The following is a 27,671-nucleotide window of genomic DNA, read 5'->3' as shown; positions in this document are numbered from 1 at the left end:
CCACGAATGTTCTCACTGTGCAAGAGTAGGTGTCAGGGCACCTCAGCCTGCCCATCAGCTGCCTGTTTTTTATAAATTAAGTTTTACTGGAACACAAGCACAACTGTTCATTTATGTAATGTCTATTGGCTGAGTTGGCTGGTTGTAAACAGAGACCATAGAGCCTGCAAAACTTGCAATATTTACTGTTGATCCTTCATGAAAAACTTTGCTAACCCTTATTCTACAGCATTTAGAAAATGGCTAGATGGGAAGGAAGACACAGCCTCACAGCAGTCTGCCAGAGACCCCTTTCTAGGCTTAACTAAAGGACTGACAGACAAATGTGTTCTCTGTATATAGTCATTGACAATGGTGACTCCTATCTCATTAAAATGACATTCAGGCTACACTTTTCCCATCTTTACCATAGGACTGTCATGAGGAATTTACAAGAGCAGAGTGTTATAGCTTGAAGGGACTTTTGAAGTCACTTAGATCCCAAACTTTCATTTTACAAATGGAAAATCTGGTCTTGAAAGTGAAGTGACTTCTCTAAAGAGAATAACAGGTAAGTGAGGGTTTAGAGATTTGAACTCAACTCTTCTAATTCCAAATAAACTTTTTTTCACAATTACACTATGCTACCTCTTTAATCAAACGTACTCCAAAAATTCAGATGTATAATGTCCCCGGTGTTCCCCCTCAAAAACATTACCCAGAAAGAAAATGAAGTCAGACCCTATGCTGACTTCTAGCCAAGGCCACTGCAAGCTGACGGTTCACAAGATGCACTCTTTTCTTCTGGAAATCTGTCCCGGAATATTCGGTAACATTGACATGACTGCCATAATTTGCAGAAGCAAAGTTCTTTTCCTCCTCTTAAAACTCCCAAACAGTGTTTAGTTTACGAAAATTCTCAGGGTGTGATCAAAGAAAAGCCCCCTGGATGCGCCGTGGATTTCACACAGTACTTCTGCCACACATCTGCAATCAGCGCCTGGTCCCTGAGGTATCTCTGTTGCCTCTATCTTCTATTTGTCCGTATACATGGGATGAGGAAAGGGTCCAATAATTTTCTTCCCAATTTATATGAAATGATGCTAATAACTTATTAAACATTGTTTCTCCTTGGATTCTATGTATGAGCACCAGGTCTAGTTTACCATGTAGTGCACACTTGTCTTATCCTGAGAGTTGCTACCACGGTATGCCATGTGTCTTGCATGTCAAGATTCTATTCAGATCTATTCAAGATATTATGGAATGTGTTTTCTACTTTTGAAATATAATTTCAAAGAACTGTGGCTTGTGTTTAAAAATGGTAAGTTCTAATTAAATGACAGCACATGTATAAACTGGAACATAGATACTGAAATTACATTTTTGAAGTTTTATATTTCTTGGGGAAACACTTAGGAAGTGAAAAAAATCAAGAGAAAACCATATATATTAAAAAACCTCAAGAATGTAAAACTGCATATGTAAAAGACTAAAGGAAAAGATGCTAAACTGTTTTCATATAGCCATATCTGCCACTCTATTTCTTTATCATTCTGGGTTTCCTGCATTATTTAAGAAGACCTCTCTCAATTGAGATTATATGGATCACATTCTACTCTTTTTCCTACTATTTACATAATTGGATTTTTTTGCTCTACATTTAGGTTCAAAACCCATCTGGAATTTATTCATGTGCGTGCCTCAGTGTTGGCATCCAATTTTATTCCCTTCCAACATCATTGATTACAACAAGATACTTATTAAATATGCCATCTTTTCCAAGTGAGTTAAAATATATCTATACTTTGATCTGTTTGCAAAATCTCTTCTTTCAGTGATTTTAATTTTTTTCATTTTTGGCACCAATACTATATTTTTTGATGAGTGTAGCTATGTGACACCTTTATAGATGACACAAGACCCCTCTTACTATTCTTCTTGAAGAATTTCTTGCTGACATTGCTGGACAGCTTGGGCTCAGTTAAAACAAAAACCTAGAGTACTGACCAAAATTGCATTACAAATACATGTTAATTTCAAAATAACTGATGGCTTCAAATTCAGCTTCCCCATCCAGGAGTACAGTATAATTCTTCATTTATCTAGATTTTTAAGTCCTTTAATAAAAAGTCATACTTGTCATACTTCTTGCTTTTGGTATGAATTCCTATGGTAAAACATAAATATAATATATACAAAGTAAAAAAGAGATTGGGAGAAACTCCCAACCCATCTGACCAAAAGTTAGAGTTCCTAATATATAAAGAGCCTGCACCATAGAGAATTAAAAGGGAGAACAGCCTTAGGAGACAATGGGCAGGAGCCACTTCTGTAAAAGAGAGGCTGGGGACAGCTGACAGCCTGTGAAAGCACACACCACCTGCCCCGCACAAGCAGTCAAGCAAATGTGAGATGACACAAGACACTTTTGCTTTTTAATCCAATGAGACTGTAAAACTTAAAAAGAGTTTCTAACATCCGGTGGTGGTAAAGATGTGGGGAAACAGCACTTCATACATTAATGGTGAGAGCATGAATCGAAAAAAGATGAATCAGCAGATTTAAAAAGTTAAATTGCACATGCCCTTTGCATCACAGTGTTAGGATTTTATTCCACAGAAATTAAGAGTTTTAATAAAGAAGAAGACATGTGTAAGAGGCTTTCCCCTCCTCAGCATTATTTGGGATGGCAAAAGCGTGACCACCATCCATAGGGGAGAGGCGGGAGGAATTTGGACGCAGCCGCACTATATTGTAATGAGCATACACTTTCGCACTGTCATATCTTTCTTCCTTAAGTCATGTTTCCTTTGCAGCCCTCCTCTTTAAGACTGATTTATATTCAGAATCAAAGAGGCCACTGATCAGCCCTGAGCCTTAGTGCTGACTTTTCTTAACCTCCTTAGCAAGAATATCCTCTAGAAATCCAGGTTTATTGGAGGAAAAGGAAGCAATTAACCAATTTTCTAAATTCCAATAGCTCCATTAGCATTTCAAGGGTCTTTTGAGGGAGACCCAGACAGAGAATTTTACTATCTGTCACGGACAAGGGGACTTCAAGACTCGATGACTAAGAAATGGAAAGCCCCACTTCAAGGGACTCTGACGGGGAGGAAGCTGGGGAAGGAGGCAGTGAGAGATACAGGTGGCCTGGGCTGTTTCTGGGCCCAAGGCCCCAGTGGAGGGGAATGTCAGAGAAGATGCGAAAGTGACAGCAGTCGAGGAGTAGATTACACTCTGCTCCTCTTTGGGATTGTGGGAGGAGACTAGACAGAATCCGAGCGGAATGCCACAGCATACACGGTAATGCAAAAGACTTGCAGGACAGAGAGGGAGAGAGAACACAGGCCACTCCCAGGTCGTGCCCAGGAAGAGCTGTGTGCGCTCCTGCAGAGGGCTGAACAGGCCAGACCTCCTAGCTATGCCTGCTAGAGCAAGGATGCTATGGCCTAGGACCACAGGATGAATCCCCAAGACTCAGGGCTGGAAAAGCAGGACTGGCAGACTCAGAAGCAGAGAGCTGAGGGACCCAGGGGCATGAGCACTCACAGGAAAGGGCAGGAGCTCCATGAGATACAGACGTCCACAAAGGTGCCAGCGGGGCACCACAGGTGTGGACAAACCCAGCAGCATTCTCTGGACACCAGCCTGCACACACGTGGGGCACCTGGGAACCTGCATAGGGACAGCTATGAGATCCCCGGATACACTTGTGGCTCCAGTGTCCTTACTAAAGTGCCCCCTCACTCCCAAGAGTTTTACATTTGCACAACAGATGATGTGGCCAAGGAACCAGGAGGAGATGGGGTCCTGAAGAACCGGGCATTCACCAAAGAGGATTTACAGCCGCAGAGCATGGGATGACACTGATGGAAAGGCTGAGGGCGGGAAGAGACAGAACACAGAGCACAGGAGGACACATCAGTTAGAGGAAAATAAAGCTCCATTTGCTTTGCATATCTGTGTGTGGTGGTTCTATATGCAGGCCTGCTGCCCATGAAAGAGGACTGTGCAGCTGCCTTAAAAAATGTTTTTGTATGTGTGTATATGCAAATATATGTGTATATATATATATACACACACATATATTATACACACACATAAGTGTGTGTGTATCTGGGAATGCTTCCATAGTTTATTGTTAACTAAAGAAAACAAGTTGCAGAGGAATATATGGTCTAAGTCCTTTTGTTAAGACAAAACAAACAAAACAAAATAAAACCCTATAAATAGTCATGTTTGTGTAAGTACAGAAAAAGTTATGGAAGTATAAACTGCATCCTGGGAGATAGAACAGAAGTGGGAAAAGAATACGACAAATACAGAGTCACTGGTCACCACGAGTGTGCACTGATTTTGTAATAGAAATAAGGAATAAAAATGTTATCAGTCACAGCCATGAGTGGTAGGATTCTAATTGTCACTTTTGTCTTTGTTTCTTATGTGTTTTCTGCACTTTCCCTAATAGACATCTGTCTTTTTTGTAATCAGAAAAACGTAGATATTAAACAAACACAAAGGCACTGAAGCCTTCAACTCCATTTGCTATTTATCACAGAAAGGGCTTTTTCTAGTCAGGCCACAATCAATTCAGTTGAATGAACATGAACTGAAACGCACACCTGCACGTGCTCCTGGGGTGAGTGTTCTGAAGGACAGGCACCCACCACTGGGCCACCAGGACATGAATTTCACCCAGCCGCACGGCCATGGGAATACCTGCCAGAAAAGTTCTCAGACATCCAGAATGGCCTCCAGCCCTGCATAGAGGTGCAGAGGGGGACAGCAAGATCTCAGGGCAGGGGGCACCAGAGGGAGACCTGGGAGGACAAGGCCAACAGCTGGGCAGTAAGAAATAAGAAGAATGTGTGTTCTTCTGCTGCCGGGTGGAATGATCTGTGAATGTCTGTTAGGTCCACTTGGCCTACACTGCTGTTCACACCCACGCTTCCTTTTTGATTTTCTGCCTGGGAGAGCTATCCATTATTGAAAGTGGAATACTGAAATCCACTATTATTGTATTGCTGTTTCTCCCTTTGCTGTCCATAGAAGCAGTCCCAGTCAATTTCTACAGCTTTACCTCCTGCAATAGCCAAGCATCTGGGGCCCCCAGGCCACAAACTTGGGGTAGGGGAGTCTTTCTTTCTAACTGCCCAGCTACCTTGTCCTCCCAAGTATTCCCATGGCCGTGCGGCTGGGTGAAATTCAAGTCCCGGTGGCCCAGTGGTGGGTGCCTGTCCTTCAGAACACTCACCTGAGGAGCACGTGCAGGTGTGTATTTCGGTTCATGTTCATTCAGCTGAATTGATTGTGGCCTGACTAGGAAAAAAAAAACAAAACCCTTTCTATGGTGAATAGCAAATAGAGTTGAAGTCTTCAACACCTTTGTGCTCATTTAATATGTATGTTTTTCTGGTTACAAAACTGACAGATGTCTATTAGGGAAAGTTCAGAAAACACATAAGAAACAAAGATGAAAATAACAATGATCTAGAATCCTATCACTTAAAGGCTGTAACCGATAACATTTTTATTCCTTATTTCTATTACAAAATCAGGGCACACTCATGGTGATCAATGAATCTGTATTTGTCATATTCTTTTCCCAGTTCTGTTCTGTCTCCCAGGATGCAGTTTACACTTCCATAACTGGAAGCCCACATAAAACATGTTTTCCTTCCTTTCTTTCTCCCTCTCTCTTGCCTTACCTTACTTTATATCACCACTCTCCAGAATTCTGCAAGCTTCACTTGCTATAAATCACCTTGAAGACACCTGACTCTCCAGGAGGATTAAATTCTAAATTATGCAATGATATCTGTAATACCTACAGAGTTTTTGGAAAATGGAAAAATACAAACCAGGAATGACAAAGGCATCACCTCCCTAACATCTCTTAGAGCAAGATACTTTGCAAAACTGCACTGCTTTTAAGTTAGAGAGTTGATTCCATGTTTTATACTGAGGTTCAAAGAACATATGAAAAGAATGCATATTTGAGATTATTGGAAATCAAGGAGAAGAAATGCCTTTGATGTTTGTGTCATCTCAGATTAAGATACATCAACTGCATTACTTAAAGTGGCTTTCCCTATGTATAAATGCTGAGTGGCTGGAAGGCCATGGCCACTTACCAGGACAATGGCCTGAAAGGTGATTTTTCCTGCTTCCTTGGCAGACGGCGGTTATTGTGTTTTTGTGTTTCTGTCTCACTTGAGCGTCTACATGGTGCAGCAATATGAAAGCTCAACTATGGCCCAGAGCACTTCTGGGCTAGTGGGAGGCTTCCCCTCACACAAGAGTGACCCTCCTGAGTGATCAGCTACCTCTGCTTAGGGCGGTGCAGAGGGTCAGTAGTTAACTGCTCAAAGGGAAACTGAAAGAGCAGGACTTTGGGGATGTAATCAAAATGCAACTTATTTACTTATTGTTTTAAATCTCTTTCTGGCCCCTTTAAAATGCATTTAGTTGAGAGAATTCCAAAGGGTCCTTCCTGGGGAAGGTGCTGTGCCTGGCATCTGTCTTCTGCTAACTGCTCTGGGGTAGTGGTGTGGAGGTGGGGGAAGGAGCATTTTGGACTGAAGGGACTGCTTCGTGTCCTGTCTCGGGCTTGGGGTCCGGCCACCGGAGGAGGCTCAGCTGCTCTCCTGGGAGCCTCTTTGGAGATTTCCACGGTGGGGTCACTCACGTGCAGCATTCCTACCGCAGGCAGCTGCACGCCTCCTCTTAACAGTCACTTTCTGCAGTGTCAGCGTACTAGGCATCTGAAGTCCTCCTCTAGCTTCTTGCTACTCGGGTCCCTCTCTCCTTCCACGCTGCCCCAGTGACAGGGCCCAACACCACCCCTGCCAGCTCCCACAGGCACGGCCCATCCGGGGGCCATAATGGTCCTCACGCACTCTGACAACCGTAAGGAATGCATCCTGGTCCCTTTCCTCACTCATGAGATGCCCAGATCCAAGCATTGGCACCTTTATCTTCAACACTCTCTTGATCCTCAGCCTAAAGGCTCCAGGTGAGGGGTAGGTCACCTTCCCCAAGCCCCAGAAACAGAAGGACATTGAGTTGACAGTGGCATTCTAACAGCTTTTTCAAAAATTTCTCTTCACAGAATCCTTTCTCCTCCCTACATCTGATTCCTTCTTTATATTCTTGATCAGTTCAAGGTGTTCAAAAATGAGGGAAATGATCCTAGCTCATTCCTTCCTAACTGGGGCTTCTGGCCTGGCATCTCATTTTAGATGTGTCGTCTGTTACACTTCCATATTGCTGTCAAACTTCAATTCTGACATTCTGTTGCATGTGGCTTTATAGAGGTCATATTTGACAAAAAAAAACATTGTGGAGTATTTGAGAGAGTATTTATGTCCATAGTAAATGTGCTGAGTCCATGGGAGAGCCATATGAGAAAATCTGTCTTCTTACTTCACAGTATACATGAAAATCAACTCCAAGTTGATGGTGTTTCTGAATGTAGAGGGTAAAACAATAAATCCTCTAGAAAGCAACATGGAGGAGCATCTGCATGAACTTGGGATGGGCAAAGAGTTCTGAAACAAGATGCCAAAACTACTATTAAAATGGTAAAGTACGCTGGGCATGGTGGCTCACACCTGTGATCCCAGCACTTTGGGAGGCTGGGGCGAGCAGATCACTTAAGGTGGGGAGTTTGAGACAAGCTTGGGCAACATGGTGAAACCTTGTCTCATCTAAAAATACAAAAATTAGCCAAGTGTGGTGGTGCATGCCTGCAGTCCCAGCTACTCGGGAGGCTGAGGCAGAAGAATCGCTTAAACCCAGGAGGCAGAGGTTGCAATAAGCTGAGATCGTGCCACTACACTCCAGCCAGGACAACAGGGAGAGACTCTGTCTCAATAACGACAACAACAAAAAACCCTAACAGATAAAGTAGATACATTAAGAACTTCTCTGCACTAGCAAACAACCTAGAGAAGGTGAAAAGCAACCTACACAGAGAGAAAACATCATTGCAATCCATAGACTCAGTAAAGGACTGGTACCCTGAATAAACACTTCAGAAGTTAATAAGAAATAAACAGTCAATTCAATAGCAGAATGGAAATATATTTGTACATACACTTCACAAGATGACATCTGAATGGCCAAAAATCAATGAAAAGTTGCTCAACCTTATTAGTCATCAGTGAAATTAAATTAAAATGAAAATTAGATACCCACCAGAATGTCTAAATTACAAAAATTGAAAATACCGAGTGTTGGCAAAGATGTGACGCAACCAGGGCCCTCCCACGGAGCTGGTGTGAGTGTAATTAGTAAGGCAACTTGGAAAAACCGCTTGGCAGAATCTACCACAGCTCATCCTACACAACCCCTGTAAGCCAGTACTTTCAGCACTCGGTACCTACACAACCAAAATGTGTACACCTGTGCACCAAAAAATACGGGAAATATCGCCATAGGACTAAGAACTAGAAGCAGCCCAAATGATAACCAATGGATCCACTGGACAATTGGAATATATGGATAAACTACAGTATACTCACACATGGACAAATAGTACATGAATAGCATAGTATGAATGAATGAACTGGTGGTACACACAGCAAACATTATTTCATTCCATTCATCACACTGAGTTTAAAAATAGGCAAAACTGCAGGTGAGAGGTCAGGAGAATGCAAAGACTGAATAAAGGAGAAAGAATAGGGAGAAGGCTCAAGGGGGCAGATGCCTGCATCTCATGTTCTAGTTTTTGAGCTGGGCAGTGATTATTTAATAAAAAGGCATATTTACATTTTTTTTATAATTCATGAAGTTGTACATTTGATGTGCATTTTTCTGTATGTACATTATTCTTCAATAAAAACAATGAGCCGCAAAAATCTATGGGCCATAAAACAGCCCTTATGCAAAGCTAATAAGCTTGTGAAGGACTTTTCCAACTTCTGTCAGCACACATTTTTGAAAAACAGCATTACTGGCATTCAGCTGGACATTTGCTGGTGTGCTATTGATCAGTTCATTTAGTTTAAGTATTTTTACTAACATGAGCAAACCACAGTCTGCCGCTTTCTCCAATTTCTTCTCAACACAGCCACAAGAATCTTTAAAAGATGTAAATTGGCCAGGCGTGGTGGCTCACGCCTATAATCCCAGCACTTTGGGAGGCCGAGGCAGGCGGATCACCTGAGTTCAGGAGTTTCAGACCAGGCTGGCCAACATGGTGAAACCCCGTCTCTACTAAAAATACAAAAATTAGCCGGGTGTGGTGGTGGGCACCTGTAGTGCCCGCTACCTAGGGTGCTGAGGTAGGAGAATTGCTTGAACCTGGGAGGCTGAGGTTGAAGTGAGCTGAGCGCACCACTGCACTCCAGACTGGGCAACAGTGAGACTCTGTCTCAAAAAAACAAAACAAAACAAAAGATGTAAATTATGTCACATCCTACCTTGCTTGAAACCCAATAGCTTCCCACTGCACTGGAGTGAGACCAAACTTCTTTCCAAGCCTTCAACTGTCCTGCCTCACTTCGCTGTTCCACCTCTGCAGCTTCAGATGGCGCCTGGCTGTCCAGAACCAGCACTGCAGGCTGAGCCTTCTGTGTGCCCCACACACAGCCTGCTGCTTCCTTGGCCTCTGTGCCCTGGCACTGACTTCACCTGGAAGAGCTTCCACAGTGCTTCCCTTCCCCCCTCCTTTTAGTTCAAGTGTCTGCTTCAATTTCACCACTGCTAAGAAGCCTTCTCTGACTTCCTTGCTGAACTACATTCCCCATTATTTTACTGCAGTACCAATCACTTCTTTTGTAGCACTACCATTGTCTGTAATAACACTACATACATCATCTGTCCATTCATTGATCCATCCATCCAGTCATATATGCCATTCTGTTCCCTGGAGAATTTAAGTTCTGGGAACTTGCTTGTTTTGTCTTTTCTATCCTTGGGACCTTAGTACACAGTTCAGGGGATGCTGCAGCCACTCAGTGAAAACAAGTTGAAGAAATAAATGAAAATTATAAAGTCAACTGGCCATTCAACACATTCCTCTGCTTTATCTCTGAGCATTTCATCCTTTTCCTAACTCCAAAGTGACCCTTTCTTGAAGGGTACACTGCTATTTCCATTCAAGAAAATTCTATCGAGTCCTTCCTACAGGTGCTAGGCTGCACACTGTTCTGAGGGTACAATAAGAACGGGTGCTGCCCACAGTGCAGTGGTGCAGTGAGACGCAAATAGAGAGAGCTGTGGCTCATGCTGGTTTGTAAGGAAGTTAGATAGTTATAAAAACTATAAAAACGAATATATACATATTAAAATGTTTATAATTTATAATATAAATATGAAAACGATTTTTTGGCAGAAACCCAAAGAAACAGATAATAGCATGAGAAATATGTGTTTTTTATATATATAAAATAATTTACAATTATATTATTTAAACATATTTTATATATAATAGTATATAAAATACATATAACATAATACACATGTATTATATATAAAATATACAAATATATTTTTATATATTTATATACATTATATAATACATACTACATATTATGTATTATATGTAATATTGATTAATATATTACATACTGATTAATTACATATTATATATTATTACATATGTTATTTCAATAATGGAATTTGTATTAACACTTTTGCTCTGTGTTCTAAAAGGAGATCATCTTGTTGAGATACATTAGCATTCAAAGATGGAGGAGCAAATGACGTGTGAGTGGGCACAGCCTCCACAGAGAGCAACAGGACAGCGGGGAGCATGAGCCTTCAGACCATGGGCACACATGGACCAGCGATGGCTCCCGTGAGAATGTGCAGTGGGGAGAGACAACACATGTTCTGATACCTTTGTTACCGCATCTCAAAGGCACGCTGGAGGCAAACTGATGAGAATCCAACAGTGGGGAATGCTGCATGGAACCTGGCCTATCAATTATAGTGAGATACTTTGCAGATTAAAAGTTATCAAAAGATGAAGACTTCCCAGGGCTAGGTACCTGGACTACACTATGCAGAATCTGTGCATATGGACAAAGGGAGGAGGCTGCATGGGGAAGTCCCTGGCTGAGGTTGCCCAGAGGACTTCACCGTGAAGATGAGCCACAAAGCCTGTGGCCTGTGAGGCCGTCACACATCCTGCTCGGTAATGTGGCATAAAAGGCCTTCTTTAACTCTGCCTACTTTATTTAAAATTTTATTTTGAAATAATTTCAGATATATAGAAAACTTGCAAAAATAGTATACAGAATTCCTACATACCTCACAACTAGAGCCCCTCGAAGGTTAAAGTTTTACATTTATCATTCTCTCCACATACGAGTCTGTTCTACAGATACTATTCAGGTTTCATCCATTGTCCCAACAATGTCCTTTGTAACAAAATGGTTGTTTTCTGTCCAAGATCCCACATTGCATTTCGTTTTCATGTTTCTAATCTAGTTTTTGAAAATCTGAAACAGTTTCTCAGTCTATCACCTTATTTTCTTTTAAAAAATTTTTATTATACTCTAAGTTCTGGGATACATGTGCAGAAGGTGCAGGTTTGTTACATAGGTATACACGTGCCATGGTGGTTTGCTGCACCCATCAACCCGTCACCTACATTAGGTATTTCTCCTAATGTTATCCCTCCCCTCGGCCCCCAATTCCCAACAGGCCCCAGTGTGTGATGTTCCCCTCCCTGCGTCCATGTGTTCTCATTGTTCAACTCCCACTTATGAGTGAGAACATGCAATATTTGGTTTTCTGTTCCTGTGTTAGTTTGCTGAAAATGATGGTTTCCAGCTTCATCCATGTCCCTACAAAGGACATGAACTCATCCTTTTTCATGGCTGCATAGTATTCCATGGTGTATATGTGCCACATTTTCTTTATCCAATCTATCATTGATAGGCATTTGGGTTGGTCCCAAGTCTTTGCTATTGTGAACAGTGCTGCAATAAACATACATGTGCATGTGTCTTTATAGTAGAATGATTTATATACCTTTGGGTGTATACCCAGTAATGGGATTGCTGGGTCAAATGGTATTTCTAGTTCTAGATCCTTGAGGAATTGCCACACTGTCTTCCACAATGGTTGAACTAATTTACATTCCCACCAACAGTGTAAAAGCATTCCTATTTCTCCAAATCCTCTCCAGCATCTGTTGTTTCCTGACTTTTTAATGATCACCATTCTAACTGGTGTGAGATGGTATCCTTGCGCAGGGCTCAGTCTATCATTCTGCAACCCTGATACCCTACTTAGGGTAGAATGTCCCCAGTCTGGGTCTGCCCTGTGAGGCCTCATGATTAGACTCTGTTGTGTATTGCTGGCAGGAACACTGTGGAAGTGATGCTCTGTCCCCTGTGAACCATATCAGGGACAAATCATGTCTACTTGGTCCATGTTGATGATGCTTATGTTGATCTCTTGGCTAAGGTGATGTGCATCAGGTCCCACCCCTAAATAGTTACTATTTTTGTGTTTGTATCTTGCAGAGATATACTCTTTGTAAATATTCTGTTTCTCATTGAATTTCTCCCCCATTGGTTTTAGCATGCAATGAAATTTCTGTTTGCAACAATTAAAACTTGGTGGTCATCAAATGGTGACTTTCTATTTCCTTCCTTTCTCCTACATTTATTAGCTGACACTCCACTATAAGAAAGCACTTTCCCTTCTCCCCCACTTATTTCTCTATTCATCCATTTCTTTCTTTTAATACAAACATATGCATTTTTCTTAAGAATCATCACCTATTTAATAAATAATCACCTGTTACTATAATTAGTAGTTTGAGGCTCAAATTGTCCCAGTGCTCATCACACAAGCCCCATCACTCTTTGGCCACTTGTTTTTTCCTGAAGTGCTAGTTCTGCAAACACATCATGCTTCTCTGCAGCTCTTCTGATGGCACCACCCACTTATTGGCTGGATAATTCCCAGCACTTGTTAAACAGCCCCCTTAGAAGCTTTCCCCAACTTCTCATGTTCCCGTCCCAAATCTTGCTGCTACCACATGACTCCATTGTTATCACGGACTGTGCACTGTGCTTGTTTGTTTAGGCTTATAAGCAGTTGGTTTGTGATTCACATTTCTTTATTATCCTTCTAAGGCACCTCCCTGGTCCACATGAGGAACTCAATACATGTATGCTGAATAAGTGATTAGGAAAAAAAAAAAAAACTGTGTAAACCCTCTGACTTTATATAACCTGCTATTCTACAGGCTTCTATTAGATAGAGTCTCATCACTTTGTTGTTGGGATCTATATCTTTGGTCATTTTTTCCCATTGTTTTACATTACTGAGAAATGCATTATTGGTTCACATTCATGAAAGTTCTGGCATTATGTTTTATTTTTATTTTAGAGACAGAGTCTTATTCTGTTGCCCAGGCTGGAGTGCGGTAGTGCAATCACAATTCACTGCAGCCTTGAACTCCTGCACTCAAGCGATCCTCAGTCTCCCAAAGTGCTGGGATCACAGGCGTGCACCACCATTGCTCGCCCATGCATTATGTTTGAAATCCCTCCTTCATTGTTGGCTACAACATACTCCCTTATTTTCTCAAGAACTTGGACATGTAATGCACATCTGAAAGTAAACATGCCAAAACTCAGCTGCAGAGAGGCTGGTATTTCCTTGCAAATCAAACTCTCCTGTAATCTTCCACATCTCTGATCAGGGCAACCTCAAGCTTCCATTTGTTCAGACCAAAGATGCAGGAGTCAACTTTAACATTTTTGACACCTGCATCTGGCCGATCAGCAAGTCCTGTTGGGTTCTAAATATAATTTGAAGAGACAGCCCTCCTCTTGGCACTGTTCCTCTGCCACCATCCTTGCCCAGCACTGTCATTCCTCCCTTGCAATACTGCAGCTCTCTCCTTGCCAGCGTCCCTGCCCTGCCACGCTGACTTCTGGTTTTCAAACACCAGCCACGGTGATCTTGTTAAACTGAACTGGATTAAGTCCCTCTGCCCAGGCCTCTCCAATGACATCACATCTTACTCTGAAGAAAAGCCAAGTCCTACCACATCTTACAATGCTCTGAATGATGTGATATCCTGTTCCTCTCTGATATAAACTACTTCCTCTCCCTTTCTCCCCACCAGCACACTCCCTCTGGCTACTCCCTGAAAGTGTCCCCTCACCCCTCTGACCATACACACTCCAGCCTCAGGCCTCGACCATCCTCCCCGTCTGGGGATAGCCCATGTCCCCTTCCTCAAGTTTCCTGGTGCTTCAATATATGACACATATATACTATATTTTTTCCCTTTTAAGCTTAAACGCTAATATAATTTGTATTGACAAAATAATTAAGAAATTCAGCTGCTCTCTGTAAAGGCTTAATAAAAATGTAAATTGTAATATAATGGAGAATTAATTGAAACACTCCAAAGCAGAGAAAGAATCGTGGAAGAGTTTAAAATTGCTCACAAGACTAACAGGGAGCCCGGTGAATTGGCCATATTGTATAGAGTGTTTATGTAGCTTCCATCTGTGCCACATCCAATAGTTGTTATTTACAGTCATGTGCAGATAGATCATGATGTTCCAGTCAATGGTCTGCATATACAATGGTGGTCCTATCAGATTATAATGAAAAATTCTCATCACCTAGTGACATCATAGCTGTTGATAACATCATGGCACAGTAACTTCATTTTTTTTTTTTTTTTGAGACGGAGTCTCGCTGTCGCCCAGGCTGGAGTGCAGTGGCGCGCTCTCAGCTCACTGCAGGCTCTGCCCCCCGGGGTTCACACCATTCTCCTGCCTCAGCCTCCCGAGTAGCTGGGACTACAGGCGCCCGCCACCTCGCCCGGCTAATTTTTTGTATTTTTAGTAGAGATGGGGTTTCACTGTGTTAGCCAGGATGCTCTCGATCTCCTGACCTCGTGATCTGCCCGCCTCGGCCTCCCAAAGTGCTGGGATTACAGGCGTGAGCCACCGCACCTGGACAGTAACTTAATTTTTAAAAATAAATTTAGTGCAGCCTAAGGGCACAGTGTTTCTAAAGTCTACAGCAGTGTAATGTCCTGGCCTTCACATTCACCACCCTGGCCTTCACATTCACCGCTCACTCACTGACTCACCCAGAGCAGCTCCCAGTCCTGCAAGCTCCATCCATGGTAAGTGCCCTAGACAGGTATACCATTTTTATCTTTTACGCTGTATTTTTACTATACCTTTTCTAAGTTTAGAAACACACATACTTACCATTGTGTTATAGTTGCCTGTAGTATTCAGTACAGCAACATTCTGTACAGGTTTGTAGCTTGGGAGCAACAGGCTATACCACATAGCCTAGGCATGTAGTAGGCTATGCCATCTAGGTTTGTACAAGTACACTCTACGATGTTCACACAATGACAAAATCACCTAAACGTATTTCTCAGATTGTATCCCTGTGGTCAAGCAACACATGACTGTACCTCTATGTAATCAGTGTGTATGCTGCATGCACACATCTATGTATCTATATCTCTGGATACGCAGTGTGTGTGTACATGAATGCTTGTTGCTTTTGAGGTCAGCAGGGTGCAATATTTCAGTACAAGGCAGCAGATGGTTTACAACTGGGGAGAAGGCATTAGAACAGTATCATGAGGTTTGTGTGAAGGCCATGCTGATGCTGCTTCAAATGTCCACACTGTAAACACACAGAGCCTTTGGGCCACCACTTGTCTCCTGTGCAGTCATAGTAGGTGGCTTAGGTGATTAATTTCCGCCAGAGATGCTGCCTTTCCTTCGTCAATGCAGGTTTTGCTTTCTCCTCCCTTACAGTGGTCTTCAGCCACAGTTAGCCTTTTCAAGCATTTTTAAGGAATGAGTTGAAAATCAAGTAAAAAAGACAAAGCCCTATCACTCATTTCCTCCTCCATCTTTTGAGAAAGACATTAAGAACTCTGTCTAATAGAAAACAATGTAATCATTTCTAAATCAACGTGATCAACAGTTGGTTTCCTTTTTCTGCCCATAAAATTAAAATTTTACCTTAAATAAATGAAGACCATTGAAAAACCATGAAAGTGTATCCCACAGAGAAGACCAGGGATGCCTGCTCCTCACAGCCTGGCTGTGTCACGGGACTGAAGGCAAATGTGCTGCACAGCAGCCTCCGCATCGGACCCAGGCTCCTAGGCCAGGGACTGCATCTTTTTCACTGAATTCCCGATGCCCAGTGCAGCATCTGGCTCGAAGCCGGTGCTCAATAAAACTCTGCTGCCTGCCTGCCTGAGGGAATGGATAAATAACTGAAGGAGAAGAGGCGGGGTCTGCTTGTGTGAACTTAGACTAAGGGAAGATCTGCCAGGACTGTGCCATGAAGTCACAGTGGCACACAGTCTGTGGCACAGCCTCATCAGCCCTTGCAGGTTCTGGTTATTGAGCCAGACATACCATAGGGAGTGAAGGGCCCCCGATCCCTCTGAGGTCAAGGGAATCTCTGGCAGGGACTGGGAGAGGGTGTAGGATGAGCTCTGATTGGTATGGACACAGTCAGTCCCTCCTCACCTCAGCCACGCAGGAATGGCCCTGAAGTTTCCAAGCCTGCCACAGCTCCCATCTAGAGAAAACCAAGCTGTCCAGGTCCACACAGGTATATATTCTATGGCCATTACACAAGACTTCTTGGTAGATATTCATGGATCTCTCAGAAAATGGGCAGCTTCTCACAGAACAGACATGGGTGCCCACTGACTCCAAACACTCTCACTGGCTGGAAATCGCAGGTTTGCAAACACACTCCTGAATGCACTGCCAGTTTCAATGCATAGCCACGTGGCATGGAGTGACAGTTTGCATGGAATGGTGGCCCTGTCAGGGAGACAAGGTTCATCACAGAAAGAGGCCTGGGGATGCTGGTTTGAAGATGGATGGAATGCAGGCAGGACCACTGCGGCCCAGGGAGTGACCAGAGTCAGCAGAGTTGCCACCACCCGGGGCCCGGGAGGAACTGCTGCTAATGAGCCAGGCTGGGCTGCAGGATGTTTGGGTTGAAAGGTCCCTAGCACAGTGGTCCTTGTCCACTTCGTGGTCTTACAGTTGGCAAAACAGGCCTAGACAATATAAGATTACATCCCAGAGACAGCGATACACGCAGAGGCCATGGGATTTCCAATTGGCTGTCAAAAAGGAAAGTTCTGAGTCCCTGGCCTGTCTGATTGCCTGAGCAGCTGTGACCCAAATCCCCTTAGCCCCCTGATAGCAGTGTGGATAGGAAGAGAGCAGGGAAGATGTTGCTGGCTGGAGCCCTCAGGAGTGCCTCAGCGTTGCTGGAAAGATGACCAGCAGTCCTTCCTACTAGCTAGGACAGTGATTCCACCATGAGGACCATGGGGCAGAAGTCAGGAGAGTGGAAGATAGGATGCAGGAGGGCAAGGAGGTGAAGGAGGCAAGGACATGGAGCCCAGCCAGAAAGGAGGGGAGCTCCTGCAGAGCCTGAGAACTCAGGATGGCTGCGTGGCAAGGGATTGAAGCTTTTGGGAGGAGGCCCGGAGGCCTGCCAGCCAACTATTCAGCTGATGGCACGGCTCTGGAGGTGCTGCCCCACCTCAACACACAATCTGCCCTTGCTTGTGGTGCCAGTGCTACATGGGGCACAATTGCCCTGCCGCCTTCTGAAAGTATATGTACCACTCCCCACCCCCTCACCCCTGCCCTACCCTCTCCCTTTGCCCATGAAATTTGGCCACTTCATCTCGGAGGCCAGCCTTGCCGAGAGAAGGAAACGCAAGTCATACATCCTTCTGGACTTTCCCTTGACACTCAAGCCCTCAACTTTTTCAATGATATAATTAAGATCATATGATATGTTCTTGGGTGATTTGTTTTTCCTATGCCATAGATATTTCTCTGTGTCACCAGAGAGAGCTAGTTCATTTCCCCCGACTTGCTGCATTGCTTTCCCTTGTGTACATGTACTGTGATTCCTTTAACCATTTTTGTTTCATGGGCTTTGTCTTCCTATTACAAAACAAAAGTAAAATTGGGACACTTGTCTGACTCTCTCAGCCTGCAGAGGCAGAAGTTGCTGTAGAAAAAAAATCCTGCAAGTGGAGTTGCTGGGTCAAAATGGAATTGCAAAATTTAGACAGAGACCGCCATATTGTCCTTCAAGGACCATATACCAAGTAACGCATCACCAGTCACTAGCCAGGTGAGTGCCGTCTCCCCACACCCTCGCCAAGACTGGACATCTTTCTTATTTTGTTTGCCAACATAGTAAGTAAAACGTGGTACCTCAGAGTTTTGTTGTTGTTGTTAATTGGCTCTCCTCTGATTACTCACGGAGCTGGTTAACTTTTCACATGTTTATTGGCTATTTATATTTCTTCTTTGGTGAACTGCCTATGTATATATTTCCTGGTTAATTTTACTTGCTCATTTTTCTTATTGATCTGAGGCACTCTGTGTATTAAGGGCATTATATTATCACTGGTGGCTTGTCTTTTCATATTAAAAAATGATTTTCCCTACAGAAGTTGAAAATTTAATGAAATAAAATCTGTGCTGTTTCTCTTCTATGGCTTGCGGGGTTTTGGGTTTGCTTAGAAAATTCTTCCCGTAAAATAAATACTATTCTCTGATATCTCCTTGTAATAGTTCTTGGGGTTATTTTTCTCCTAAACGTTCACACTTTAATACATCTGGAAGTAACATTTGCAAATGGTAAAGGGTTTCCCTAGTGAATTGCTTTCACATGGATGACCAAGTGTTGCTACACAGTTACATGATCTGTCCTTCATCACTGATTTGAAATACCACATTTATCATACACAATATGCCTTTGATGCAATCCTAAGGAGATAGGAATGGGTGATAGAAGCTGGAGTGGGGCTTCAAGGAACTGGGATTGTTTCTGCTACTCACAGAATGGGGGCATACATAGAAGCTGAGCCATGCAGTTGCTCTCACACACCTGAGATCGCATCTTTCACAGTCAGAATACAAGGGCAGGAGTGCTGGGGTCCTGAAACCAATGTGAAAGGACCATCCAGCCTTTACCTGAAGGCATGTTCCCTGGATTATGGTTGTTCGAAGGCTGACTCACACACAGTGGAAAAACTAGACATGATGTTTTAGGGAAAAGAGCTTAAGGGTAGGTCCTCCTGCTGAAGCCAGCTACAATTAAGTCAAGAGGGGGCAGGGGTTGGGGGCACGAAAGCAAAGAAATGCCACTTATCTGAAATCTCCAAGAGGAATGTGGATGGCAACTGGCACCTGCAGCTGATAAGGAACCACCAGATTCCAAGCCTCTGTGCTATGAGCGATTGCGGGGCAGAGGGATCGGAAGCCTCATGTAGCAGAGACCTGGGACTGCTCCAGACACAAAATGAGCCCAGAGATCCCCCATGACTACAGGTAGGAAGCAGGCTGAGAAAGCTGCCACCTTGCAAGGATGCCACGGTCTCTTTAGTGCCCTATGCTCCAAAGAGGGGCCAAGGCCAGGAGAGTAGGAAACGGTGAAGCCCCTGCCCTGCTGGGAAACTGAACGACCAAGGGTGATGGGACCTCACAGCCTCTGCCCAGTGGAATTTCAGGGTTTCTATGGCCATTGACAGTCACCTGTCTCCAGTTATTCCGTTCCTGTTCTACTACTGCATGTTGTTGTGTGGGTGTGACTGTATGGTTGTGTGGTATCAGCTAACTTGTTCTTTTATTTAGCCCATGGGTCTCCAGACTCAAAGAAGCTATATCTGCATCTTACAAAGAGACCACTGGGCATCACGCAGAAGCCCGTGACTTTGAGGCTGATGAGACTTTAGGATGTCTCCCACTACCTTTGATATTTGTGTACCAAAAAGACTGAATCAAATATTCGGTGACCAAAAGGGTAGACTGTGGTTGGCATTAAAACTGTTCACTAATATCCACTTTTCTTCTGCTTCTGGGCTCTCAGAAGAATTGCAGCTCCTGGCCTCCCCAAAGATACACGTGGATCTGTAACTTGCTTTGACCAATGAAATATAAGTGGCAGGTGTCATTTTAAGTGGATGCATTTAATTGCCAGTGCTTACCTCTCCAGTCCTTCTCTTCCTCCTGCCCCTAAGCCTGGTGACCTCCTGATGGCAGTGCTCCATCAGCCTGGAGGAGAATGGCATGTAGCAAGCCCTGACTTCCCTGTGCACCAGGAGCAGAAAATAAACCTTTGTGGTTTGAGCTGCCGAGATCTGGGGGCTATGTGTTACTGTATCTAACTTAAACTAATTGAAAGTACCTTCATTCATTCCCTTGGACTCAAATATCTCTATATTGATCACTCTCAGATTTATAATTCTAATGTAGTCCTCAACCCTGAGCTAGACAGAGTTTTTTTTGGTTCTGCTTTTCTTAACCTATGAATATTCAAGCACCCAGGACTCCGTGTTGAGCTCCTTTTTCTTCTCTATCTACACTTTCCTCCTTTGTAATCTTATTCCGTATCGGGCCTTAAATATTTAAGCACTAGGGTCTTCCAAATTTAAATCTCTAGCCCTGACTAATACCTCTCTAGTACACATCGCTTAATTCCTGGATAGTGCCTACATGACTCTGGACTCTTGAAACTGAATTTAAGCATTGTCTCTGTCTCCTGAATTTCACTATTGAATCAACAACCATTATTACCTAATATAAAAAAGCTCCTTGAAGACATCAACACACACACACACACACACACACACACACACACACATACACACTTTGTGAAATAGTGTTTGCATTTTTCCCACTTAAGTAGTAAGACTGGAGCAAATTTCATAATTAAAAAAAAATCCCTTGAACAGTGTAGCTAAGAAGAAAGGAAGGAAGGAAAAAAGGAAAGGGAGATCTAAGCTTGATCACATCAAACAGAAAATGTAAACACTACGAACAGAATGTTATTGTACCCCATTAGCAACCTGTCTTCAACAAATCATTTTGCGAAGCAAGAATCAGAACCTAAACTAGACCCTTTCCCAAGACGTATATTCCTTAAGAAATATGCCCTTGAGAACATTGCTCTCACAGGACACTTCAGTCATCAGTAACTTCATGTGGGCTCCAATGGCTGCAATGATCCACTGCACCTATCAGCCAAGAGCACATTCTAGAGGAGTTCTCAATGTTAGAAGTGACGATGGCATTGCCACGGTTCTTTTTGTCAACAGTGTTCAATGGGAAGGTTGTTCCTGCATAGGTCAATTTCTAGGAAAATCCACCTGAATTAGAGAGGGAAAACAGCAAAAATAGTAACAGAAAAACACATGCGGCCTGCTTCACTATGTCCTATTACGATACATGGAAACGTCTGAAATCTTCACTTACATCTCCCTATTTTGACTCCTAATCAGAGAGGTGAGGCTGACTGAGAGGGAGACAGGAGGCTTTGGACCAGGGCCATGGGCCATGTGGGAGCAGGTGCTAGCTCCAAGCGCTCATTCTCCCCTAAGAGACTCTCTCCCCTACCAGGTCTCAAATCCATCACCCCATCATGTCCAGCACAAGAACTTGGCCATGCATCCATTCTCAGCCTGGTATCCCATACTCCGAGTGGCTCATCTCTCAACCTCACCTCATATCCCCACCTTTCCCAACCTTCCCACAGCAGAGCTTGTGCTGATTTACAAGGCTGCCTCTATTTTGTACAAGTTCCTACATAGTCCAAGGCCTGTTCTAGGCTTTCCAGTTTCTTCCACAGTACCAGCCCAGGCAGGAATACCACATGTTGTAGTTACTGTTCATTTGAAACGTTGATCTCTCCATCCACCCTATGATTAGCCAAGTATTCCTTTTCATCTCTTCTACTCACTATTTAGTAATTACTGTCGTTTTTCAGTTGTTTTTTTTTTTTTTTGGATAGTCTTCCAATTATAATAGTATGCATAAATTATCAGAGGTAAACTTTAATCAACATTATACTATTTCACATACGTGTAAGCACATATACAATATTAGCTCATAATTTTTCTTGTAAATTTGTTTGTGTTCCTTATAGATGCTGGATATTACACCTTTGTTAGATGCACAGTTTGCTGAAATTTTCTCCCATCCTATAGGCTGTCTGTTTACTCTGTTGGTGTTTCTTTTGCTGTGCAGAAGCTCTTTAATTAGATCCCATTTGTCAATTTTTGCTTTTGTTGCAATTGCTTTTGGCATCTTCATCATGAAATCTCTGCCTGTACCTATGTCCAGGATGGTATTGCCTAGGTTATCTTCCAGAGCTTTTATAGTTTTGGGTTTTACATTTAAGTCTTTAATCCATCTTGAGTTGATTTTTGTATATGGTGGAAGGAAGGGGTTCAGTTTCAATCTTCCATACATGGCTAGCCAGTTATCCCAGCACCACTTATTAAATAGAGAGTCTTTTACACGTTCCTTGTTTTTGTCAGGTTTGTCAAAGATTAAATGGTTGAAGGTGTGCGGTCCTATTTCTGGGCTCTCTATTGTGTACCATTGGTCTATGTATCTGTTTTTGTACCAGTACCATGCTGTTTTGGCTACCGTAGCCCTGTAATATAGTTTGAAGTTAGGTAGCATGATGCCTCCAGCTTTGTTCTTTTTGCTTATGATTACCTTGGATATTCAGGCTCTTTTTTGGTTCCATATGAAATTTAAGATAGTTTTTTCTAGTTCTATGAAGAATCTCAATGGTAGTTTAATAGGAATAGCATTGAATTTATAAATTGCTCTGGGCAGTATGGCCACTTTAATCATATTGATTCTTCCTATCCATGAGCATGAAATGTTTCTCCATTTGTTTGTGTCACCTTTGAGTTCTTTGAGCAGTGTTTTGCATTTTTCCTGGTACAGATTTTTAACCTCCCTGGTTAGCTGTATTCCTCGGTATTTTATTCTTTTCGTGACAATTGTGAATGGGAGTAGGTTCCTGATTTAGCTCTTGGTTTGACTGTTGTTGGTGTACTACTACTATTCTTATCAGTTCTTTTGTTCATTCTTCAAAATAATTGTATCCAATTCCCCGAAATGCAATATTAGAACTCTGATTGACAGTGCATTCCAGCTTTGGGTTAATTTTGAAAAAATTGACATTTTTTATATTAACGTAATTCACCTGCCCCTGCTGAAACATGATCAGCTTCTCTAGCTTGTCCTGTCTCCATACCTGTAGCTTTCAGGCATCCTCTGAACACTCTTGTTTTGGATGGCTGGTTGGGTCTCCTCTTTCTCTTGACTGCTGATTGTATTTCCCCGTTATGTGGCTAAGACTTGAGTCTTGAATTCTTTTTCCGACAAACTTGCCATCTGAGAGCACTCAGACAGCATCCTGTCTATAGTTGACCCCATGGTGACAGTTCCAGCCATGACTTCATTCATTCAGCAGATATTTGTGGGGTATTATGGCCCTGTGCCATGCTAGGCACTGAAGAGACAGTGGTGAACAAGACAGATGAAATCTCTGTTCCCTAATAGAGCCACAGGCATGCTCAGGATAGAGAGCCAGAGGGCTGACCTGGTCTAGGCAGCCAGGGGGTGCTTCCTAGAGGAAAAAGCGTTTAAGTTGAACTCTGAAGGACCAATAGGAATTAGTCAGGCTGAGCAGCAGGATGTGAATGTTGGGGTAGAGGAGGTAGAGGGTGGAAAGAACACCCAGGCAGAAGAAACAGCTTATTCACAAATCCTATAGTTGTCCAGATAGTGAGTGGGGCCCACGGTGAGTCTGGTAGAGGAGGGGGTGTTGGTGGAGGGTCAGAAAGAGCCAGAGTTGACCAAACTCAGGGGAGGTAATGGTGACAGATGTCAGTGTCATCTGGCTAGATTTGCTCTGAGCTGGGCTCTGTTCTCAGCCCTTTGTGTTTGTCTCAGTTCACCCTCACAGCAATCCACTGAGTTAAGATGTAAGGAAATGGAGTGCTGATACATCACCAACTTGGCCAGGTTTGCACGTCCCCAGGATTATGAGTCAGGACTGAAACTCGGCCTCCGGAGCCCACTGTGGCAAACTAAGATGCTGTTAAAGAGCTTTTTTTCAGGAGACTGGCTGAGGCTATTGTTTTTTGGGGGCAAGGTGTCACCCAGGCTGGAGTGCATGACAAGATCCTGGCTCACTGCTAACTCCACCTCACAGGTTCAATCGATTCTTATGCCTCAGCCTTGCAAGTAGCTGGGATTACAGGTGTGTACCACCATGCCCAGATAATTTTTGTATTTTTAGAAGACAGAGTTTCTACTAAAACACCCTTGATCAGGCTGGTCTCAAGCTCCTGGGCTCAAGTGACCTGCCCACCTCAACCTCCCAAAGTGCTGGGATTACAAGCATGAGTCGCCACGCTCGGTGTGACAATCTTTGTTTTAGCAAAAACCGTCTGGGCAATTGTGATCCTCAGAGTTTTCAGAACGACTGCTCTAATCTGAGCATTTCGGCTATGAATTATTTCACTCTTACTCCCACGTTAGCAGAATCACAAACATGGTGAGGTGTTGGGTTTCCCTTGTTATTCAGTTTTAAATATTTTCTAAAAATTTGTGAGATTTTATTGACCCATGAGTTACAAGTATTTTTCTTAATTTCCCAACATTTGGGGGATTTTCTAGATTTCTTCTTGTTAAGACATTTCTAATTTAATTCAATCATGGTCAGAGAACATATTCTAAACAATTTCAATACTTTGTTACAAAGATATGTTTTGTGGCCAAGAGTATGGTCTGTTTCAGTGACTATTCAGTGTGGTTTCAAAATAAAGGTATTGCACAATTGTGGGAATTAGCATTCTATAAATGTTAATTTTTTCAATTTTATTAATATCATTCAAATCTTCCATGTTTTCACAGAATTTTTATCTACTTATTTTAAAAATATCCAACAATAATGAATTTGTCATTATCAAGTTCTCCTTTTAGTTCTGTCAATTTTTCCTTCATATATTTTAAAGTAGTCTCATTTTACACAGACAAAATAAGGATTGTTAATGCTTCCTAATGAACTGAAACTTTCATTATTATGAACTGTTTTTATCTCTAGTAATACTCCCTTAATTTTTACTTTGTTATTAATATAGCTACTCAAGCTTTCTTGTTGCTAGTGTTTCCATGGTATATCTTCCTTCTATTTTATAGGTCTAACCTCCTATTTAAACTATGTCTCATAGAAACTGTATACAGCTAGTCCTTCTTCTTTTTTTTTTTCTTTTTGAGACAGAGTCTCACTCTGTCGCTCAGGCTGGAGTGCAGTAGTGGGATCTCGGCTCACCTGCCTCTAGGGTTCAAGCCATTCTCCTGCCTCAGCCTCCCAAGTAGCTGGGATTACAGAGGCGTGCACCACCATGACCACCTAATTTTTTCTTGTTTGTTTTGTTTTTTTGGGTTTTGTTTTTTTTGAGATGGAGTCTCTCTCTGTCACCCAGGCTGGAGTGCAGTAGTGGGATCTCAGCTCACCTGCCTCCAGGGTTCAAGCCATTCTCCTGCCTCAGCCTCCCAAGTAGCTGGGATTACAGAGGCGTGCACCACCATGCCCACCTAATTTTTTCTTGTTTTGTTTTTCTGGTTCTTTTTGAGACAGAGTCTTGCTCTGTCGCCCAGGCTGGAGTGCAGTGGCGCGATCTAGGCTCACTGCAAGCTCCACCTCCCAGATTCACGCCATTCTCCTGCCTCAGCCTCCCGAGTAGCCGAGACTACAGGCGCCTGCCACCACGCCCGTCTGATTTTTTGTATTTGTAGTAGAGACGGGGTTTCACCATGTTAGCCAGGTTGGTCTCGATCTCCTGACCTTGTGATCCGCCCGCCTTGGGCTCCCAAAGTGCTGGGATTACAGGCATGAGCCACCGAACCCAGCTGTAATTTTTTTTTTTTTTTTTTAGTAGAGACAGGTTTTGCCATGTTGGTCAGGGTTGTCTTGAAGTCCTGACCTCAAGTGATCCACCCACCTTGGCCTCCCAAAGTGCTGGGATTACAGGTGTGAGCCACTGCACCAGCCTAGGTCTTTTTTTTTCCCCAATCTAGTATGACAATCTCTGCCTTTTGATGGGAATATTTAGGCTACTCATATTTAACAGTTATTAATATGGTGAGGTTTAAGTGTATCATCTTGTCATTTGCTATTTGCCCTATTTTATCTTTCTTTCTTTATTCCTCCTTTCCTGACTTATTCCTGATTAAATGTTAATTTATAGTTTTTTTTTTTTTTTTTAAGGCTAGTCAAGTGAAGCAGTGGGAGTGGAGAAGAAACAAATCTGTAACTAGTTGCAATCAGGTGTAAACACCACCGCACTATGATTAGCCAAGTTTTCCTTTTTATCTCTTCTACTCACTATTTAGTAATTACTCTTGTTTTTTAGTGTTTTTTTTTTCTGGATAGTCTTCCAATTATAATAGTATGCATAAATTATCAGAAGTAACCTTTAATCAACATTATACTATTTCACATACATGTAAGTACATACACAGTATTAGCTCATAATATTGTATTATGGGCTATACAGGGCATGGTGGCTGGTGCCTATAATCCCAGCACTTTGGGAGGCTAAGGCAGATGAATCACCTGAGGCCGGAGTTCAGGACCAGCCTGGCCAACAGGATGAAACCCCACCTCTACTAAAAAATAAAATTAAAAATTAGCCGGGCATGGTAGCACACACCTGTAATCCCAGTTATTCAGGAGGTTGAGGCACAAGAATCACTTGAACCCAGGAGACAGAGGTGCAGTGAGCCAAGATCATGCCACCACACTCCAGCCTGGGTAACCGAGTGTGCTCTCTCAAAAAAAAAAAAAAAAAAAAAAAAAAACACATACAATATATACATAAAACAATATACACATAAAATATAGGGATACAATAAAATTCACATTAAACACTTCTGCATATGTTCCTCCAACCCTTTATACAATTGCTGTCATATATTTTACTTCTACTTATGTTATAAAACACACAATACATTTTTCTGGCCTTAATCAATAGATTTAACAAGTTATGAAAAATTGTTTATTTTCCAACATATTTACCACTATAGTACTCTTCAGTTATTCTTGTAAACCCAGGTTTATATTTGCTCATTTAACATGAAAAACTCATTTTAACATTTTGAGTCAAATTCTCTCAGTTTGGAGACTAATTTACCCATTTTTTTCTTTATTTCCTTTTTATTTTTGAGAGTATTTTGGCAAAATACAGAATTCTGGGATAGCAATTTTTTTCTTTGAACACTTTAAAAATATTGTTCCACTGTCTAATGGCATCTATGGTTTCAAATGAGAAGTCAGCACACATTGATGTAACTGTTTCCCAACATGGACTATATAGGATTTCTCTAATTGCTTTTAGGATTTTTCTCTTTAGTTTTGATTTTAAGCAGTTTGACTATGATGAGCCTAGATGTAGTCCTCTTTGGTTTATCTTGGTCAGGGTTCAATGTGATTCTTGGGAATGTGAGCTGACATTATCATCAATTTGGAAACATTTTCAACAATTATTCCTTCAAATATTCCTTCTATCTCATTCTTTCATCTCCTTCTGAGGGTCAAATCATGTGACTGTTAGATAATTTTATATAATATTATTCCACAAAGTCTCAGACACTGTGTTCTGTTTTCTTCATTCTTTTTGCTTTGTGTGTCAGTTTGAGTCATTTCTATTAAACAGACCTATAATTCACTGATTCTTTCTTCTATTATGTTCTGTGATGTCCATCCAATAAGTGTTTTTGAACTTTTATTATAAAATAATTATAAACTCACAGGGAATAGAAAAAGCAGTACAAAGAAGTCCCATATGCCCTTCC

The 27,671-nt window shown here is 42.4% G+C and overlaps 1 pseudogene across 3 annotated transcripts in view, besides 4 other annotated features; it reads right to left on the bottom strand.

Annotated features, from left to right (window-relative positions):
* Window positions 1–3,185: part of a biological region, named in NCBI's record as "proximal CHRNA7 low-copy repeat recombination region", that runs on past the window's edge. NCBI's record gives its function as "recombination_partner: LOC106736477".
* Window positions 1–27,671, bottom strand: part of LOC100288637 (OTU deubiquitinase 7A pseudogene) — a 126,895-nt pseudogene that overhangs the window by 73,086 nt on the left and 26,138 nt on the right. The window lies entirely within an intron of this gene.
* Window positions 1,677–3,185: a non allelic homologous recombination region, noted in NCBI's record as "sub-region 6, recombines with sub-region 6' within the distal CHRNA7 low-copy repeat recombination region". NCBI's record gives the evidence for it as "EXISTENCE:nucleotide sequencing assay evidence [ECO:0000219][PMID:20506139, PMID:19898479]".
* Window positions 2,853–3,460: an enhancer, noted in NCBI's record as "H3K27ac-H3K4me1 hESC enhancer chr15:30988667-30989274 (GRCh37/hg19 assembly coordinates)". NCBI's record gives its function as "activates a minimal SCP1, AML or CMV promoter by ChIP-STARR-seq in naive H9 embryonic stem cells {active_cell/tissue: H9 hESC(naive)}" and the evidence as "EXISTENCE:reporter gene assay evidence [ECO:0000049][PMID:30033119]".
* Window positions 3,461–4,068: an enhancer, noted in NCBI's record as "H3K27ac-H3K4me1 hESC enhancer chr15:30988059-30988666 (GRCh37/hg19 assembly coordinates)". NCBI's record gives its function as "activates a minimal SCP1, AML or CMV promoter by ChIP-STARR-seq in naive H9 embryonic stem cells {active_cell/tissue: H9 hESC(naive)}" and the evidence as "EXISTENCE:reporter gene assay evidence [ECO:0000049][PMID:30033119]".

Source organism: Homo sapiens, chromosome 15 (assembly GCF_000001405.40).
Source record: "Homo sapiens chromosome 15, GRCh38.p14 Primary Assembly".
NCBI classification, from domain to species: Eukaryota; Metazoa; Chordata; class Mammalia; order Primates; family Hominidae; genus Homo; species Homo sapiens.
This window is presented reverse-complemented; position numbering and strand designations above follow the sequence as displayed.